General features: G+C 39.6%; 1 protein-coding gene across 7 annotated transcripts in view; it reads right to left on the bottom strand.

Moving 5' to 3' along the window:
* Positions 1-17,040, bottom strand: part of ANXA4 (annexin A4) — a 183,305-nt gene that overhangs the window by 133,195 nt on the left and 33,070 nt on the right. The window contains exons 3-4 of one of the 7 annotated variants that reach the window (XM_047444083.1): positions 8,435-16,293; positions 6,836-6,992 (exon numbers count right to left, since the gene is read on the bottom strand). The exons of 5 other annotated variants lie outside the window; for them this stretch is intronic. The gene's annotated coding sequence lies outside the window, so the exon portion shown is untranslated. The remainder of the gene's footprint in view (positions 1-6,835; positions 6,993-8,434; positions 16,294-17,040) is intronic. One more of the 7 variants, XM_017003943.2, reaches the window with a different exon arrangement.

Here is a 17,040-nt window from a genome sequence, read left to right as displayed (position 1 = left end):
CAACCTGTACAGTTGTCCAGAGGTCTGCATTCAGAAGGGCCTGGTGCTTGGTTTAATGCTCAGCTGTCACAATCATGAAATTCTTAACTCTAAACAAGGGGCCTGTGTTGTCATTTTGCATTGGGCCCTGCAAATATTGTTCCCCATAGCTACTGCCCCTTGTTAAACCTAACCCCAAATATGTCCAGGAACCCCCTGGGAGTGGGTGTCACAGATGTTGATGAAACCACTCAGTAACCTACTTTGTGCCTGCTTCATTTCCTTCCTCTCCTGTCCCCACAGACACTGTGGCCCTGACATGTGGCAGTCCTTGGGGACCTGCAGGCAGGGTGCCATGTCCTCTGGAATCCCCAGAGGCCTGAAGACATGCTGCATGTTCCTGCAGAAGTGCTCCTGGCTCTCCTTGTGAAACACCTTATCTCTTGACCCCAAAGCCCATCTGCTTGAGCCCCAAATGTCTCACTGAGCTTAGCATGGAAACATGCTCCTCAGTTGTCTGCTTATGGCCCCTGTCCCTCTCTTAGACCCTAGACAGTGACCTGCTACCTCCCGTGTCTTCCTGGTTAGCTGCTCCTTCTCCGGCCTTCCCTTCTCCCCTTCCATCCACTTTCCTCCCCAGGGAGCTTACAGTTTCCCTTTGAAGTCCTCACTAAACACAGATGAGGACTCTTCAAAGAACTGCACCGACCAACTCTATGTTCTTCCGAACTGCATTGCAGGCAGCTATTAATAGGAGCAACAAAAAAGGGGAGGTTCACTAGGCAAATAAATTTGGGAAACAGTGCATATTAGATGCTCTTCTTGGAGATTTAACTAGTCACTATCAAGCATGTTGAAAGTTCAGGGAAGAATCTATTTAACCTAATATAACCCAGTGTTTCCTAAATTGGGCATTATATTGGGCATTGAACACTCTGACCATCCCTCCCCCACCTCACACACACACATTAGCAGTATGCAGATTGCATTCTTGGGTGATACACACTTAGAGTACAATAAAATAAATTGATATAAACCAATTCTGAACATAATTCAATATTGCTTTGAGGATTCATGAGATGCTGGCATTTATCTTTTGATCTCTGGACAAATGGAAATTAAGCATACTCCAAATGATATTTAAAATACACTAAAGACATTTAGCCTTACCTAGCGCTAGGCACATTGTAAATACTCAGTATATACTTGTGGAATTACTGAATTTATGGAAATCCTTTGGGCCTCAGTTTCATCTACTTAGAGGAACTGGATTAGTTGGTCTCTGACATCACTTAATAAACATCAAGTGTCTTTTAAGTTAGTCACTGAGGTATGAAGACTGGGCTCCTCTCCCAAAAGAACTGACAGCCTAGTAGAAAACAGGCAATATGCAAACAATTATAATACAACATAATATTGTTACAGGAAATATATATACTGTTATGGAACTATAGAGGAGGTAATAGCATTGAGTCTTAAAAAATAAGTAGGCGTTCATTAGGATGAAATGATACAGGGAAAGGGAATTCCAAACCAAGTGCACAGCACAAACAAATAAATGAAGACCTAAAGCATTGAATCTTTCATGGACACTTCTAGGCCTAAATCCCTTGACTTTATAAATGTCATGGTAAATTGCATAATGCATATCATCATGCCCAAATTCATATTTTATAATGCCATATGTTAGATCTCCTTACTGTGGTTTCACCTGAGGCAATCTTCTGAAATTTTCTTTAAAAAAATGAAGAGTTGTCTGGGCGCGGTGGCTCACGCCTGTAATCCCAGCACTTTGGGAGGCCGAGGTGGGTGGATCACCTGAGGTCAGGAGTTCAAGACCAGCCTGGACAACATGGTGAAACCCTGTCTCTACAAAAATACAAAAATTAGCCAGGTATGATGGCAAGTGCCTGTAATCCCAGCTACTTGGGAGGCTGAGGCGGGAGAATCGTTTGAACCCGGGAGGCGGAGGTTGTAGTGAGCCAAGATCACGCCACTGCACTCCAGCCTGGGTGACAGAGTGAGACTCAGTCTCAAAACAAACAAACACACAAAAAACAAAAAACCTGAAGTTACTGAATAGTAACCAATCCCCCTTCCCTTCAAGACAGATGCCAGGAAACCCAGCTATAATGGCTAGGCAGCTCTAGTCCTGCCAGCTGCTTCTACGCTGCTAACTTCTGTCCTGCTAATGTGAGGTCTGGGCTGCTCAGAAGGCTCACTCCAGCCCTCCTGTCCCAGGCCTTTTCTAATTGTGTTCCACAGCTCTCTGGGTTTCAATGGGTTCTGTGGCTAGTTTCTAAAGAAATAAGCTATAGGCATGCATATGTGCATGCGTCTGTGTGTGTGTGTGTGTGTGTGTGTGCATGTGTGTGTGTGTGTGAAATCACTGACGGTTCTCATATTTTTAACTCTGAGCCTATCATTTTGATGCAGTTCATTCCTGTCTTCTGTCTCCAAAGTAAACTCCCATCTTTATACTGTGGTAGGTGCATCCGTTTTTCAGTGTAAAGACTGTACCAGGGGCTAGGAGCAGTGGCTCATCCCTGTAATCCCAGCACTTTGGGAGGTCAAGGCGGGTGGATTACTTGAGGTCAGGAGTTCGAGGCCAACATGGTGAAACCCCGTCTCTACTAAAAATACAAAAATTAGCTGGGCATGGAAGTGGGCGCCTGTAATCTCAGTTACTTGAGAGGCTGAGGCAGGAGAATCACTTGAACCTGGGAGGCAGAGGTTGCAGTGAGCCGAGATAGCACCACTGCACTCCAGCCTGGATGACAAAGAGAGGCTCCGTTTAAAAAAAGAAAAAAAAAAAAAGACTGTACCAGAAAGAGAAAGGTACAAGTGGCGGTTCTCCCAGGCAGAGTATTTGCAAACTTGATATTTCTGCTACCCACATAAGGAATATTAAAAGGAAAGAAAGACTGTTGCCACAGCCTTCATCTCTAGAATTCATTTATACATATGATTTACCATTATTGTTATTTCTTGGTTATTTCAGGATGTTTCTTCCCAATAAGATCCCAGGATAAATTCTGATTATTAGTTGCTTTGTTTTACAAACAGTACTAAGGCACTGAAACATGGTGCTTAATAGAGCAACCGGTGATGCCCTGGCATATGTGGAGTTTGAGATCAAGGCCTCTTGTTACTCAGGAGAGATGGCATGTGATGGGTAAAGGTTTTGCAGAAATTACCTTTAAATGAACTCCTCAGCATGCATTGTCACCTAAAAAGGAATAAGGTTTCAAGGGGTTGGACCAATAAAGGGCTAATCTTAGATGTCTGAAAATCATTTGAAAAATGTAGAACCTTTGCTCAGGCTGGAGAGGGTATCCCAGGGGTAAGTGTGTAGGAACTGCAAAAACAGGGTGGAGCCACTAAGTAGATGAAAAGACTGGGCCGGGCGCAGTGGCTCATGCCTGTAATCCCAGCACTTTGGGAGGCTGAGGTGGGTGGATCACTTGAGGTCAGGAGTTCAAGACCAGTCTGGTCAACATGGTGAAACACCGTCTCTACTAAAAATACAAAAATTAGCCAGGGATGGTGGTGCGTGCCTGTAATCCCAGCTACTTGGGAGGCTGAGGCAGGAGAATCACTTGATCCCAGGAGGTGGAGGCTGCAGTGAGTCGAGATAGCACAACTGCACTCCAGCCTGGGCAACAGAGTGAGACTCTGTCTCAAATAAATAAATAAATAAACAAAAATAAAACAAATAAATAGGTGGGAGGACAAATTTTGAGAGACACCTGAATTCTATTTCAGCTGACCATGCTAAAATTTCCTTAAATTTTAATTTTGATTAAATGTGTTTAACATCCAAATAATACTATGCACAGTTCACATGGCAGAGTACTACACAGCTGTAAAAAAGAACGAGGAATATATGGAGTGATCCTTAGACTTTATGGCTAGTGAAAACAAAACAAGGTAGAAAAAATTGTCTATAGTATGCTACTGTTTATCTAAAAAGAGAGAATTTGATATATGAAAATGTTTCCTTATTTTTTTAATGAGAGAATATGCCATAAAACTTTATTTCTTAAAAAAGACTTTGTTGGGAAGTAGATAGGGTAGAGGGACTGGGATAGAAGTCACACTCCTCTGAATATGCCTGCTGTTGTAGATTTGACTTTAGAAATTTGTAATCATTTTACATAATTATAAAATATTTTTAATTGAAAAGCAATCCCTATGAAACAAAACCAAAATGAAACAAATGAACTGAAATGTACACTCTGAGTTGGCGGAATAACCACACAGGAAGGAACTACTTCAAGTGACTTTAATTTGATTTTCATTATTATGATACGCCATAAAACCAAAAAGAACTACATAACGACCTTAAATGTATTTCAATAGTCATATGGTTGGTGGTGGGTCTTAGAACAGTTATTGTAAGACAGTTGCATTTTTTTTGTGAAATAAAGCAAATAAGTAATTTTATTGATGTCTTTGAGAATTGGGATTTTCAATAAGGGAAAAAAAGTATAAATGTGAGATTGACGAGGTTGAAAAAACATCTCGTAGTCTTGTTTGAAATGTCATATGGGCTGGTCATGGTGGCTCATGTCTGTAATCCCAGCACTTTGGGAGGTCAAGGCAGGAGGATCACTTGAGGCCAGAAATTTGAGACCAGCCTGGGCAAAATAGTAAGACCCTCTCTCTATAAAAATAAAAAAATTAGTAAGATATGGTGGTATGTGCCTATAATCCCAGCTACTCAGGAGGCTGAGGCAGGAGGATCACTTGAACCCAGTTCAAGGCTGCGGTGGACTATGATCATGCCACTTTACTCCAGCCTGAGTGACAAAGTGAAACTCTGTCTCCAAAAAAAAAGGAAAAGAAAAGAAAATGTCGTATGAACCACAATATATTTTCGAAGAGGAAGAAGAGAAAGGAGAGGAGGAAGAAGAAAGGAAGGAGAACTTCCTAATTCTTTCTACTAAAAAGCCCCAGAAACTATGATCAACCTAGTAGGCTGACAACACTGGAGCCCAGAGTTTGGTCTCTAAATTTCATTTCCCATTGAAAGGAACCAGGACTCTTTGGAGAAATGGCCAATTCCTGATCTGGGGCAGAAAATACATGAGTTGAATGTGGAATGTAAGAGATCTTGTCATATTAGAAATCAAGGAAATAAGTCAGATCATGTTAAAAAGACTTGGAAGCCAAGTTGAATATTAATAAAAATAACAATAGCAATTGATTAAAACACATCAAATATTTTTAAATCCATTAGTTCATCATAATGCTTAAAAAGAAACAAAACAGCTCATTGTTCTTCCTAGGCAGATGCTTGGGAGCCAACTCATTGCTTTGAATTTCACAGGTAATGAAGCATTTATCTTACATTTTCTGTACTTCAGCGTAACCATATCATTGAAAAGGGGATATTTCTCTTTATAAAAGTATTCCAGCTAATAATTAAAGGAGCAATGAGAAAATTAGAAGATCACCGTTTAGAACTGCAAATGAATTAACAGATCTAGACGCTTATCATCAGTGGCTGCTGACGTCACAATTTCTCACTGTATTTCTCACTATTCTCCTAGTTGAATTGAAAAGCAATCCCTATAAAACAAAATCAAAATTCCACTATTCTCCTAGTGAGAAATACAGGACACCACCAACAAAGCATTCCTTCCCAAAGAATCAAACATAAACGTTATCACAGAAAATATAGGGGAAAGAGAAACTTGTTAAATATGCCATAATGCAATTTTTAAAAATTCAGACTGGGAAATTCTATATGACAAATAACACGGCACCTTCAACAAATAAATAATGAAAGGGAAACTTACAGCCTAAAAGAGGTTTAAGAAACCCATCTAACCATGGCGATGTGTGGACCCTACATCCTGACTTGAGCAAGCTCAAATAAAAAGTTTATGACACAAATGGGAAAATTTAAATAATGACTGGATATTAGATGATATTAGAGAATCAATATTAATTTCTTAAGTGTGATAAAAGTATTGTGGGTATATTTTCAAAATGCTCTTATGTTTTAGAGATGCATACTGACGTGTTTATGGACTCAATGATATGTTCAGGCATTTGTTCCACAAGAATCTGGAGGAATGGATGGTAGGTAGATGGGAGGATAGATGATGTAAGATTAGATATAAAATTGATAGTTGTAAGCTGGGCGCGGCAGCCCACGCCTGTAATCCCAGCACTTTGGGAGGCTGAGGCAACTAGAAAGCACAATGGATCAAAAATCAGGTAGTCAGAGACTTGGGGGACGTCTTCAAGATTATCCAGCCCCATCCCCTCTTTTGATGCGTGAACCATCTCTACACCATCCCTAAAGGTCATTGCCCATATTCTGCAGGATTGCCTTCAGCCCATTCCTCTTTAGATAGCTTTGCCTGTAAGAAATTTCTTTCTTTTTTCTCTCCTTCCCAAAAATATCTTTTTTTTTTTTTGAGACAGGGTCTTGCTCTGTTGCCTAGGCTGAAGTGCAGTGGAGTGATCCCAGTTCCCTTCAATCTCTGCCTCCCAGGTTCAAGTGATTCTCTTGTCTCAGCCTCCTGACTAGCTGGGACCACAGGTGTGTGCCACTATTCCCAGCTAATTATTTTTATTTGTTTTTAGTAGAGACGGGTCTCACCATGTTGCCCAGGCTGGTCTCGAACTCCTGAGCTCAAGCGATCTGCCCACGTTGGCCTCCCAAAGTGCTGGGATTACAGGCATGAGCCACCATGCCTAGCCAGAAATGTCTTCCTTATACTGAACAGAAATCTGTCTCCTTGTATCCTTTTCTACCCACCAATTAGAGCCCTAATCCTTCCTTACACAACAGCCTCTCAAATATTTGAAAACAAGCTCTCCCCTGTCCCTCTCATCTCACCGCTCATGCAAGTGTCTTGAGCTCCAGGCTGCACAGCGCCGCTCCTCTCCGTTGTTTCACACACTCGTGACTTTGGTTCTCTGCCATCCTCTGCTCTGATCTCAGGAAAGTGTGACTTTAAGTTATGTGTTCTGGAATAAAGGGATCTGGGTGTGTCCTGACAAATGCAGAGAACAGCAGGGTTATCACCTCCCTTCTACCAGTGACTGCATTTCTGGTTACCATGGTCCAGAGCCCATGTGCACAAACTTGCAAGAGCTGATAGTTAAATGTTCAAGAATTTTCTGAGCTAGTTGTAAAATGCAGTTCTAATTAAAAGTTAAATTATGCTGGGCAAGGTGGTTAACGTCTGTAATCCCAGCCCTCTGGGAGGCCAAGTCCAGAGGATTGCTTGAGCCCAGGAGTTCAAACCAGTCTGGGCAGTATAGTGAGACCCCGTTTCTACAAAAAATTTAAAAAAGTATTAGCCAAGCATGGTGGGGCACGTCTGTGGTCTCAGCTATCCAAGAGGCTGAGGTGGGAGGAGCGCTTGAGCCTGGGAGATTGAGGCTGCAGTGAGCTGAGATCACGCCACCGTACTCCAGCCTGGGTAACAGAGCAAGACCCTGTCTCAGGCCAGGTGCGGTGGCTCACGCCTGTAATTCCAGCACTTTGGGCAGATCACGAGGTCAAGAGTTTGAAACCATCCTGGCCAAAATGGTGGAACCCCATCTCTACTAAAAATACAAAAATTAGCTGGGTGTGGTGGCACGTGCCTGTAGTCCCAGCTACTTGGGAGGCTGAGGTAGGAGAATTGCTTGAACCCAGGAGGCAGAGGTTGCAGTGAGAAGAGATCACGCCATTGCACTCCAGCCTGGGCGACAGAGCCAGACTCTGTCTCAAAAACAAAACAAAACAAAACAAAACAAGACCCTGTCTCGAAAATAATAATAATAATTTTAAAAATTAAAGTTAAATTACATAAGCCTACAATTAGATATATTAAAAACAAAGGTAATAAGTAATTAAAATACTACTTCCTAGTAATTTTACTGTGTTTAATTATTATCTCTCCTCTTGAGGTTAATCACATCTACTGCATCTGTGTGGTGGAAATACCACATAATGGCATGCTATCACACATCTCTTCCAACCTCTGAGTTCAGTGCCACAAAGTCAGTACCTTGAAACTGGCCAAGGTGAGAGTATTTACACTACAGAGATTGGTCAGAGCTATAAATCAAGGTCCCTCCCTCTCTCCGCCCCCAACCCAGGGCCAGTTGTTAAATATTTACCACACCACTGGATACAGCCTAAAATCTTAGTTTTTTTGGCAACCACGTTACACTTCTGACTCATATTGAGTTAAGGCTCTTAGTTACCGTTAAAGCAAGTATTGCTTATTCTCACTGATAGATTTAATTCCTTAGACCTCATATTAATCACCCTTAAATTTCATCCTTTTAGATTCAACCTAGGAATTTTCGTTCTGCCATTCAAGTATTCATCATACCCTCTAACTTCATGTTGCCTATAAATCTGATGAGCACACCTTCTGTATATTTATTCTGAAAGCATTTATGAGGAGACAGTGAAGGACAGACACAGCCTGGGACTCACCACTGCATGCTTCTTTACAGTTTGTTAGCCAGCACCTGTGCGTACAATTGACTGGTTTCTAATTCATTCAGTGTGCCACAATTCAGTTTATATCTCTCTGTCTTGTCCAAAAGAATATCATGAAAAAAAAACTTTATTAAATGTCTAACTGATAACAAAATATTCTATATGTATGGGCATTCCCTGAGGTACTGGGCTGGTAACTCTGTCAAAGCCAAGAGATAAATTAGCCCTGACTTGTTTTTAGTGAACTCATCTGGATCTTAATCATTCCTTTTTTATCTAGTGCCTGAAACTGTTCCTCTAATAATCCCCCCTTCTAGACTCTGGCCTGAGATTGAGGTTACAGACCATTATCTACATTTTTTTCTGGCTCTGCTTTCTCTTTCTGAAAATCAGAATACTCCACTGTTACCAGTCTTCTGGAATCTCTCCTATTCTCTATGATGCCCCAAATATCCCTGACGATTGTTGGTGATCCCACAACAATGTTTTCTCAAGACCCAAAGACATCATTCTTCAAAACTGGGGACTTGAAATCACTTGGAGCAGCTTTGGGCTCTTTCTCACTCTATTATTCCATCTTGGGCTTCTATCTTCGCTTACCAAAGTTTATGCTCTTTCTCTATTTCTCCTCACCTTACTGATAACATGTGGAGAAAAAATGTCCTTGTCCCGAAAGTTAGAAGCAGAAGAGAATTGAAGATCTCTGTTTTCTCTATGTCCCCCATTGACAGTGGCCCTACATTTTACCTGATGGGGTTTTTTTTTCTCTTTCTTTCTTTTTTTTTTTTTTTTGAGACAGTCTTGCTCTGTTGCCCAGGCTGGAGTACAGTGGCACAAACATGGCTCACTACAGTCTCAACCTCCTGGTTTCAAGTAATCCTCCCACTGGAACCTCCTGAGTAGCTGGGACTACAGGTGCACACCACCCCACCATGCCTGGATAATTTTTGTATTTTTTGTAGAGATGGGATCTCACCATGTTGCCTAGGCTCATCTTATAGGCATGAGCCACTGCACTCGACCATACCTGGTGTCATTCCTCAAACTTTACTACAAAGACTGTAACACCCAAATTATATCCATCACATAATCTGATAGTTTCAGAATAATGTGAACTTATTTGGAGCTTTAGCCTTTCTGACGCAACTGTGTCCCATGTACATTCGGGCAGATGTAATGGCAATTTGATGGTAGGATAGATATTTGATAAGAGATTCCTTTCATGAGTTGTGACACCACATCCTTGTTTGAATTTGCAACAAGCTCCCTACTTTCTAAAGTGAAGCATGGTATAGAGTAGTCTTAAGCTTTTCAATTAATTGGACTTGAGAATTTTTCATCTTAAAATTTTTGAGAAAAACTGTTAATACTTCTGAGCTCGCAAATCACAATCAAGGAGATCCACAAAAATGAAATAATTCAGTATATTTAGCAGCTTTTCTCTTTAATTTTACTTAGCTGATCTTTAACATAACACAACTTAAAACAATCAACTCTTGTTATGCTGCATTCTCTTACCTGGAACTCTCTAAGTTGCCCTTATGCATAGTTCCAAAAAAATGTGAACAATGTTTATGGGTTTTAATCCAGAGGCCCTGAGCTAGGAGATATGAAATCTAGGTTCACCACCGCTTTGTTCTGCCATAACCAGCTGTGCAATCTGGGACAAATTCTCTTGCCTTATTTGTTCACATCTAAGTGTTGTCATAAGTTCCATCCAAATTCAAGAGAACAGAGTAGTACATTACCCAGCTATCTTTCTAAGGGCTCTTGGCTGTCTCCATATACTCTCTAGTAGATGTGTGAGTGTGCAGGTATGTATGGAGGGACAGACTGAAAAACAGTCTGAGTTGGGAGTCTTGGTAGGAAGAGGAAAAGGAGGAGGAGGAGGAGGAAGAAGAAGACAGCGCATATCGTTCCTCTTTGGTTTCTCAGAAGAGGTAATTTCAAAACAAAACTAAGCCAACCTATCAAAACAAGATAATGACAAGGGAGAAAGTAAAGGTTTTTGGCCAAATTCATCTCACAATCATTCTTCCTGTCCCCACAAAGCTATCTGAACTGAGATCTTATTAGCAGACTCCATTTCCAGTAAACATCACTCAATTAGAACAAAAACGGGAAGCTCCCACATGTAGCAGCTGGAAAGAGTCCCAGATGCAGGAAGAGGTTTGTATGACATCATCCAGAGTTATGCAGTAGGAGGGTCTGCAGATTAGAAAATATAGCTCACCTAAGAGTTCTTTTCACTGGGAACTTTTAGCCGCATTTAGCAGGCCTGAGTTTGTTAGAATATATGTTTATTGACATATGTGTGTTTATTTAACCCATATGTAGGAATGTATATACTTCTTGGAAATTATTTAAATGCTAAGGAAAACTTTATTCCTGTCTCTCTGTGTGTATAAACACTTAATTAAAAGACCAGAAAAAAATATAGACAAATACTATTATCCTTGTGCATGTAGAAAAATTTTGTTCCTGTTTTAAACAATAACGTGGATATTTTAGTAAAAATGATACATGCTTACTGTAAAATATTAAACAAATTAGAAAAGCACAAAGAAGATCATAAAAATCATCTGACGTCTCAAGACTGAGAAATAAACACTGACAGCATTTTGTTAAGAACTCTCTAGACCTTTCTCATGCCTGGAGATAGATGTTCACTCTTACATGAGTGGCATGTTCTTGATTTGCTGCACTGTATTTCTCCTTACTTCTCAATGATGTCATTCATCTCTTTAAATGTCACCAAATATAGGGATGTAATGTGACTTCTAAGGACCTCATAGTTTTCCATTTTATTTTGTTTATTTCATATTTTCATATACTTAGTCAATTCCACATTAAAAAAATACAGTTGTTGAGAAAGAACTTGTTAAGCTTCAAAAGAACCATTACATAAAGAATGTGAAGTTATATAAAGAAACTCATTTACACAAGAATCTGTTTTAGTTGTCCCTATTCCAAAAGCTTGAAATAGTGTATGTAAACAATGAGGTACTGTAAACATGTAAAAGGGTATCTTTATTATTACTGAACCATTAAATAAAATTAAATGTTTTAAAAAGCAAGGATGAATCATAAAGTAAAACTCAATAGATTCCACAACATAGAAGAAACGTAAAATATCTTAAAGAAAATTTAAAAAAAATTTATTGAAACAAATGGAAATTGACATAGAACGTACGAAAACCTATGGGATACAGCAAAAGCAGTGCTAAGAGGGGAGTTTATATCAATAAACACCTACATCAAAAAAGTAGGAAGATTTCAAATAAATGATCTAAAGATGCCTTCAAGGAACTGGAAAAGCAAGAACGGGCCAGGCATGGTGGCTCACTCCTGTAGTCCCAGCACTTTGGGAGGCTGAATCAGGAGGATGGCTTGAGCCCAGGAGTTTGAGACCAGCTTAGGCAACATACTTAGGCAACATAGGGAGACCCTGTCTCTACAAAACATTAAAAAAGTTTAGCCAGACACAGTGGTGCACAATTGTGGTCCCAGCCACTTAGGATGCTAAAGTGGGAGGTTCACTTGAGCCCAGAGGGTCAAGGCTGGAATAAGCCATCATAGAGCCATTGTACTCCAGCCTGGGCAACAGAGCAAGACCCTGACTCAAAGGAAAAAAAAAAGCAAGAACAATCCAAACCCCAAATTAGTAGAATAAAATTAATAATAAAGATCAGAGCAGAATTAAATGAAATACAGACTTAAAAAACAATACAAAGGATCAATGAAATGAAAAGTTGTCTTTTTGAAAAAGTAAGCAAAATTGATAAATCGCTAGCTAGACTAACCAAGAAAAAGGAGAGAAGACACAAATAAATAAAATCAGAAATGGGCCGGGCACAGAGGCTCATGCCTGTAATCCCAGCACTTTGGAAGGCCCAGGCAGGTGGACCAACATGGTGAAACCCCATTTCTACTAAAAATACCAAAATTAGCTGGATATGGTGGCACGTGCCTGTAATCCCAGCTACTCAGGAGGCTGAGGCAGGAGAATTGCTTGAATCTAGGAGGTGGATATTGCAGTGAGCTGAGATTGCACCACGGCACTCCAGCCTGGGCAACAGAGTGAGACCTTGTTTCAAAAAAAAAAAAAAAATCAGAAATGAAAAAGGAGACATTGTAACTGATGCCACAGAAATACAAAAAATCATCAGAGACTGTTATGAACAACTATACACTAACAAACTGGAAAACCTAGAGGAAATGAACAAATTATTGGACACATACAGCCTACCAAGATTGAATAAGAAAAATATGGAAACCTGAACAGACCAATAATGAGTAATGAAATTAAATCAGTAATAAAAAGTCTCTCAACAAAGAAAAGTCCAGGACCAGATGGCTTCACTGCTGAATTCTACCAAACTTACAAAGAACTAACACCAATTCTTCTCAAACTATTCCAAAAAAGTGAAGAGGAGAGAATTCTTCCTAACTCATTCTATGAGGCCAGCATTATCCTTATACCAAACTAAGACAAGGACCAAACAACAAAAAAAGAAAACTAAGGTCATTATCCCCGATGAACACAGATGCAAAAATCCTCAATGAAATACTAGCAAACTGAATCCAACAGCACATCAAAAAGGTAATACACCATTATTAAGAGAGATTTATCTCAGGGATGTAAGGATGGTTCAACATACGCCAATCAATAAATGTGATACATTACATCAACAGAATGAAGGACAAAAACTATATGATCATCTCAATTGACCCAGAAAAAGCATTTGATAAAATTCAACATACCTTCATGGTAAGAATTCCCAACAAACTAGGCATAGAAGGAACATACCTCAACATACTAAAGGCCATATAGGACAAACCCACAGCTAACATCATACTGAATGGGGAAAAGATGAAAGCCTTTCCCCTAAGAACTGGAACAAGACAAGGATGCCCACTTGCACCACTCCTATTCAACACAGGATTGAAAGTCCTAGCCAGAGCAATCAGGCAAGAGGAAGAAATAAAAGGCATCCAGATTGGAAAAGAGGAAGTCAAATTGTTCCCCTTTGCAGATGACATGATCTTATATCTAGAAAAACCTAAAGGGTGCACCCAAAAACTTTTAGAACTGATAAATGAATTCATTAAATTTGCAGGATACAAAATCAATGTACAAAAATCAGTAGCATTTCTATACACCAATAATGAACTAGCTGAGAAAGAAATCAAGAAGGTAATCCCATTTACAGTAGCTACAAAAGAGAAATGACTAAGAATAAATTTAACCAAGGAAGTGAAAGACTTCTATAAGGGAAACTACAAAATGCTGATGAAAGAAATTGAAGAGGACACAAACAAATGAAAAGACATATTTTGTTCATAGATCAGAAGAATTAACGCTCTTAAAATGACCAAACTACCCAAAGCAATAATCAGATTCAATGCAACTCCTATGAAAAGACCAATGTCATTTTTTACAGAAATAGGGGAAAAAATCCTAAAATTCATGTAGAATCAAAAAAGAGCTTGAAGAGCCAAAGCAATCCTGAGTAAAAAGAACAAAGCAAGAGGCATCACACTACCTGACTTCAAAATATATTACAAGGTTATAGCATAGCAATCAAAGTAGGGTGGTATTGGTATAAAAACAGACACATAGACCACAGAACACAGAATCCGGAAGTAAATCCACTTATTTCCAGCCAACTGATTGTCTACAAAGGTGCCAATAACAGACATTGAGAAAAGGACACCCTCTTCAATAATTGGTGCTTAGAAAATTGGATATGCTTCTACAGAAAAATGAAATTGGAACCCTGTCCATCACCATATGCAAAAATAAACTCAAGATGGAGCAAAGACATAAATATAAGACCTACAACTAAAAGCTACTGGAAGAAAACATAGGGAAAACACTTTAGGACACAGGTGTAGGGCAAGAGTTTATGGCTAAGACCTCAAAAGCACAGAAAAAAACCCCCACAAAAATAAGCAAATAGGACTATATTAAACTAAAAAACTTCTGCACAGCAAAGGAAACAATCAACGAAGTGAAGAGACAACCTGTTTAATAGGAGAAAATGTTTGCAAACTATTCATCCCACAAGGGAATTATATCCAGATTATACAAGGAACTCAAACAACTCAAGTAATCCCACTGAAAAGTGGGCAAAGGAGATGAATAGACATTTCTACAAAAAATAAAAACAAATTAGCCAGGCATGGTGGCACATGCCTGTGGTCCATCTACTTGGGAGGCTGAGGTGGGAGGATCACTTGAGCCCAGGAGGTTGAGGCTGCAATGAGCTGTGATCATGCCACTGTGCCACAGTCTGGGCAACAGAGTGAGACTTTGTCTCAAAACCAAAAACTTTTTAATAAAATAAAATTTAAAAAACCACAAAATATTACATATACTTAATAAATATGTAATGTGTATCAATAAAAAACCAAAACAATAAAAACAACTCAAAAAATAGCTAAAGCAGACCTGACAGAGGGTTAATACAGCAATATATAAACAGCTCATGTAAAACAATAAGGATGGTAATTCATAATAGAAAAATAGCTTACAACTACAAATACTTACAAATAACTTAAAATTTAAATATAGCTAAATATCACTATTAATCAATAAATAAAATTAAAACAACAGACAACTTTTTCACCAACAGTATACAAGATTTTAAAGATGAGCTGTTACATATATAGTAACTAGTACTTGGTTAACAAATAAATGCCTCGTGAATATTAGGTCTTATTATTCTTACTCAGTGGTGTAATATATTTCTGTTGAAAGTAGAAATAGAAATTTGTGGGCTGGGCACGGTGGCTCATGCCCGTAGTCCCAGCACTTTGGGAGGCCTAGGCAGGAGAACTGCTTGGGCCCAGGAGTTGGAGACCAGCCTGGGCAACATGGCAAAACCCAGTCTCTACAAAAAACACACAAAAAATTAGCCCGGTGTGGTGCTGTGTACCTGTGGTTCCAGCTACTTGGGAGGCTGAGGTGGGAGTATCTCCTGAGCCCAGGAGGTTGAGGCTGCAGTGAGTCATGATGGCACCACTGCACTCCAGCCTGGGTGACAGAGTAAGACCCTGACTCAAAAAAAAAAAAAAAAAAAAAAGAAAAGAAAAGAAAGTGTAGATTTGTAATGCCCTTCTGAAAAAAAAAAGCAATTTAGCAACATAAACCAAAAGTTGTAAAAATATTTGTAATCTTTACATAGTAATTCTACTTCTAGAACTGTCATTAAATAATAATTTGAAAGGTAGACAAAGGCTTTATACACAAAGAAGCAGATCACCACATTATTTATAACAAAAATTGTAAATGGCCTAAATGTCATAGGGGCAAAACGTGTACAGATAAACCTCGCAGATATTGCAGTTTCAGTTCCAGACCGCCGAAATAAAGCAAATATCACGACAAGGTGAGTCACACAAATTTTTTTGGTTTCTCAGTGCATATAAAAGTTATGTTCCCTTCACAGTAGAGGAGGGGGAAAAGTTGTGTTTGCACCATACTGTAGTCTATCAAGGGTGCAATAGCATTATGTCTAAAAATACAAAAGTAGTACTCTTTTCTCCAGGTACAGGGCAGGATGCCTGTCACATGAGGGTCTTCAGGGGAGAAGGGAGATGCTCAGAGGTTAATTTCTAGGTTTTCTGGCTTGCTTTAGGGGTAAGAAGTTCTAGTTTCTACTATCTTCCTTAAGGAAGAATAATTCCATTTTCTATCACCTGCTTCTGTGGAGAAATGGGAGAAAGAGAAAGGAGGGAGGGAGAAGGTCAGAGGGAGCTTGCTGTTTCTGAGGCTCTTCCAGTCTCCTTCAGCTCAAAACACTCAGCATGCCAAAGTGCCATCCATTAGGGTATCGTGTTCTGAGCTCCTACAATATCCAATAATAAAGAGATGGATATTAAGCAAATTGTGATGTAGCTATAAGAGAGAATACTCTGAAGGCATTTAAAATTATATTTATGAGGCCAGGCACAGTGGCTCACGCCTGTAATCCCAGCACTTTGGGAGCTCGAGGCTGGTGGATCACCTGAGGTCAGGAGTTCAAGACTAGCCTGGCCAACCTGGTGAAACCCTGTCTCTACTAAAAATTCAAAAATCAGCAGGGCGTGGTGGCACACACCTGTCATCTCAGCTACTTGGGAGGCTGAGGTAGGAGAACCACTCGAACCCAGGAGGCAGAGGTTGCAGTGAGCCAAGATGGGCCATTGCACTCCAGTCTGGGCAACAGAGTGAGACTCTGTCTCAAAAAAAATTATATATTTATGAAGAACCTTTAATAACTTAAAGAGATATGATACAATATAATATTAAGCAAAGAAAAGAAGAGACAAAATTTTATGTACAATAATTTTAATTATATGCATAAGAAATAGGCTTGGCAGGGTGTGGTGGCTCACGCCTATAATCCCAACACTTTGGGAAGCTGAGGTAGAATGACTGCTTGAGGCCAAGGAGTTTGAGACCAGCCTGGGCGATATAGTGAGAACCTATCTCTACAAGAAATAAAAACGAAAATAAAAAAAGAAATAGCCTTAGAAGGAGATACACCAAAATATTAACAAATTTTATCTATTAGGAATGGGAATAGGGGTGTTTTTTTGTTTTTTTCCCCCGC

The sequence above is a fragment of the Homo sapiens genome, chromosome 2 (assembly GCF_000001405.40).
Source record: "Homo sapiens chromosome 2, GRCh38.p14 Primary Assembly".
Classification (NCBI taxonomy): Eukaryota; Metazoa; Chordata; class Mammalia; order Primates; family Hominidae; genus Homo; species Homo sapiens.
The sequence above is the reverse complement of the archived record's forward strand: the minus strand, read 5'-3'. Positions and strand labels throughout refer to the sequence as shown.